The 3,498-nt window shown below is 43.0% G+C and overlaps 1 annotated feature.

Moving 5' to 3' along the window:
- Nucleotides 1,318-2,517: an enhancer, noted in NCBI's record as "CDK7 strongly-dependent group 2 enhancer chr4:11506548-11507747 (GRCh37/hg19 assembly coordinates)". NCBI's record gives its function as "activates an origin of replication core promoter dependent on BRD2, BRD4, P300/CBP, MED14 and CDK7 cofactors, with strong dependence on CDK7, by STARR-seq in HCT116 cells {active_cell/tissue: HCT116}" and the evidence as "EXISTENCE:reporter gene assay evidence [ECO:0000049][PMID:35650434]".

A 3,498-nucleotide genomic window follows, 5' to 3' on the forward strand; every position in this document is an offset into this window, starting at 1 on the left:
TAGGTTACAAGCACTGTACTAGGTATGAGAAATCAGAGGGTCCCCAAGAGACACAAGTTGTTTGCTCTCTTTAGTAGGTTGTATTGTGTCCCTTCCCCCAAAAGATCTGTCTAAGTCCTAACCCCTGGTACCTGTAAATGTGAACTTACTTAGAAATAGTGTTTTGGCATGTTCTCACTCATAGGTGGGAATTGAACAATGAGAACACTTGGACACAGCAAGGGGAACATCACACACCGGGGCCTGTTGTGGGGTGGGGGAGGGGGGAGGGATTGCAGTAGAAGATATACCTAATGTAAATGACGAGTTAATGGGTGTAGCACACCAACATGGCACATGTATACATATGTAACAAACCTGCACGTTGTGCACATGTACCCTAGAACTTAAAGTATAATAAATAAAATAAAATAAATAAAATAATAAAAAAATAAAATTAAAAAAAAAAGAAATAGTGTTTTGGGGCCGGATGTGGTGGCTCACGCCTGTAATCCTAGTACCTTGGGAGGCAGAGGTGGGCAGATGACAAGGTCAGGAGTTCGAGACCAGCCTGGCCAATATGGTGAAACCCTGTCTCTACTAAAAATACAGAAATGAGCCAGGCATGGTGGTGCCCACTTGTAGTCCCAGCTACTTGGGAGGCTGAGGCAGAAGAATTGCTTGAACCTGGGAGGTGGAGGTTGGAGTGAGCCAAGATTGTGCCACTGCAGTCTAGCCTGGGCATCAGAGTGTGAGACTCCATCTGAAAAAGAAAAATAAGAAGAAGAGGGAGAAAAAAAGAAAGGAAATAGTGTTTTTGTAGATGGGATTAATTTAGAAAGCTCAGGATTTAGATTTCCTGGATTTAGGATACGCTGTAAATCCAGTAGCTGGTATCCTTACAAAAGAAAGGAGAGGGGATTTGAGACATAGACATACAGACACAGAGGAGAAGTTCACGTGAGGGAGGTGGAGGTTGTAGTGATGCATTGACAAGCCAGAGAATGCCAAGATTGCCCACAGCCACCAGAAGCTAGGAGTGAGGCATCGAACAGATTCTCCCTTGGAGCTTCCAGAAGAAACCAACCCTAATGACACCTTGATTTCAAACTTCTGGCGTCCAGAACTGTGAGACAAAACATTTCCACTGTTTTAAGCCCCCAAGTTTGTGATAGTTTGCTACAGCAGTCTAGGAAATGAAAAATGAGGTTAATGTCAATTTTTTTTCTTTTTTTTTTTTTGTGAGGGGTGTGGAGTTAGAGAACTAAGAAAGGCTTGATACAGCTTTCATGACTTCCATGGGGAAAGACAGTAACTAGGCAGAGGAAGAAAGGAATGAACATTCTTTGGTGAACCTACTGTATGCCAGGTATTTTGCTGGGTATTTTAGGTGCAATAAGCTGCTTAACTCTTACAACACTAGGAAGTTTGTATTGTCATTCATGGTCTTCATATAAAACATTTCAGTCTCAAAGAGGTTAGGTGATTTGTCCCAAGTCGCCCAGACGAAGCCAGCAAGCTCAGGCCATCAGGACCTCAGAGTTTGCATCCTTCTCTAGAAACATGCTGCGTTTTCCTCCCTGCCAAGGAGAAGGCCTTGACTCAATGGACTCCAAATAAGATCCTGTGTGTATGCCTCAGTTTCTTCATCAGGTAACTGAAGAGACTAGATAGCCAAAGATTCCTTTCCCATCTAAAACAAACGGTCTGCTTGAGTCCATGGAGCCCCAGAGCTTTCTTACTTAAACATTTCCTGCTCTGATCCATGTTCTTCATCCAGTATGCAAAATGAAACATGTTCATTCCGTCTCTTGGTCTTGGGGTTGTAATTCTTATCTTTATTGCTACCTCTGCAAGGAGGAGTAAATCATTATTTGTGTATTTTGTTGCCCCCCCCCTTTTTTTTTTTTGCTCTCTCTTTCAAAGTTAATCAGGTTACTTCCATGTAATTTTTTACAAAGTAAATTTCCAACTACCTTTAACCACAAATTAGTCATCACATTGTGCTTTTCAGGGTTATATTAAGTCATTCGTCATAGATGCTGCCGATAATAGTTGGCTTAGGCTAAATGTTTCCTTGTTCAGAGTATTTATCACATCCTGTACCTGCCATGCCTGTGAAAATAAAAGGCAGGGAGGGTGTGAACTGGCTCACAGAGGGCATAAGAAAATGAGTATGAAGGAGCTAGGTAAACTGCAGAGGCCCCTGCAGTGGGGAGGTGGTTATTATTGGCATTAAGTCATCCTTTGGCAGGTTTTATTGCTGCAAGATGAAAGGGACAAAGAGGAAGTGTCTACAGGCTCACAAATACGCAGGGGCTGTGTAGGGAGAAGGTGGGCTTCCATGTCTGGGAAGCAATGCTTTCTAGCTGTGAACTTGGCAAATCACTTACCATCTCCCATCTCAGACTCCTCACAGGCAAAGTGTGAAATGGAAATTCCACCCCATGGGGCTATTGTGAGATTTGAATGAAATTGTGTCTATGAAACCCTAGCCTGGCCCAGAGCATTCAATTGAGTTTGAGATCCTGTCATTCAAGGCAATTGGCTGGAAAGAAATCTCCACAGGATTCATTGGCACTGATCACATAATTCCTCATGTCCCATCATGGATCTTGGATAGGTCTGCAAGCTAGGGCCTCCTATCTGCCACATTGTGAGGTACTCCCTCACAATGGTACACAAGGGAGTACCATTTCGAAGGTACTCCCTTGGATGTGGAGTCTTCCACTGTGCTGTCATGGTCTCTCAACCTGGTCATGGCTAGTCTGGTTTGCTTCAGCAAGTAACTTTTGGCACAAGGTGTATATTCATGCTGTCTTAGCATGCGGTATTCACTGAAACACTAGCTCTGACTTAATGATCGATCTTTATTAACCGACCTTCAATGGAACATGTCAACAGTTTCCATCACACTGGAAATAGGATCCCAGTAAATCACCAGCCTCTTGCCATGGTCCACATCACTGATGACTCTGCCTCTGACTTCTCTTGCTCCCTTCCTTCTGCTTCACCAGCTCTAGCAACACCGGTCCTCCTGCTGTTTCTTGGTCCCCACTCCCACCGCAGCCCATGCACACACACTCCTCTCCCCATGTGAAACTCTGTCTGTGCACCTGCATAGTCCGTGCTTTCACCAGCTTCACCTATTTGCTCCAATGTCAACCCCAGAAGAAAGACTTCCCTGATCATCCTGCTTAAAGTCACACAATCCCCTCCATAGCTATTCATCCTCTCACCTTTGTAAATTTGTTTTCACTGCCTTTTTTTGTTGTATTACATTAACTATGTATTTTGCCTGTATTCTGTACTTGACATATATTATGCATATTATAAATATTTGTTGAGTGAAAGAATGCATAAACATACTGACTTTTATGAATAACTATGCCATGGTACTTGAATTAAAGGAGTCAGAGGCAAACATTTACTTAGCTAGGGGATGGTTCCTTCAATAATTTTTTTTTCTTTGAATAGTAGCCCCATCACTCTCAATGAGGTGGAGGTTATTATTCCCAT

This window comes from Homo sapiens, chromosome 4 (assembly GCF_000001405.40).
Source record: "Homo sapiens chromosome 4, GRCh38.p14 Primary Assembly".
Lineage (NCBI taxonomy): Eukaryota > Metazoa > Chordata > Mammalia > Primates > Hominidae > Homo > Homo sapiens.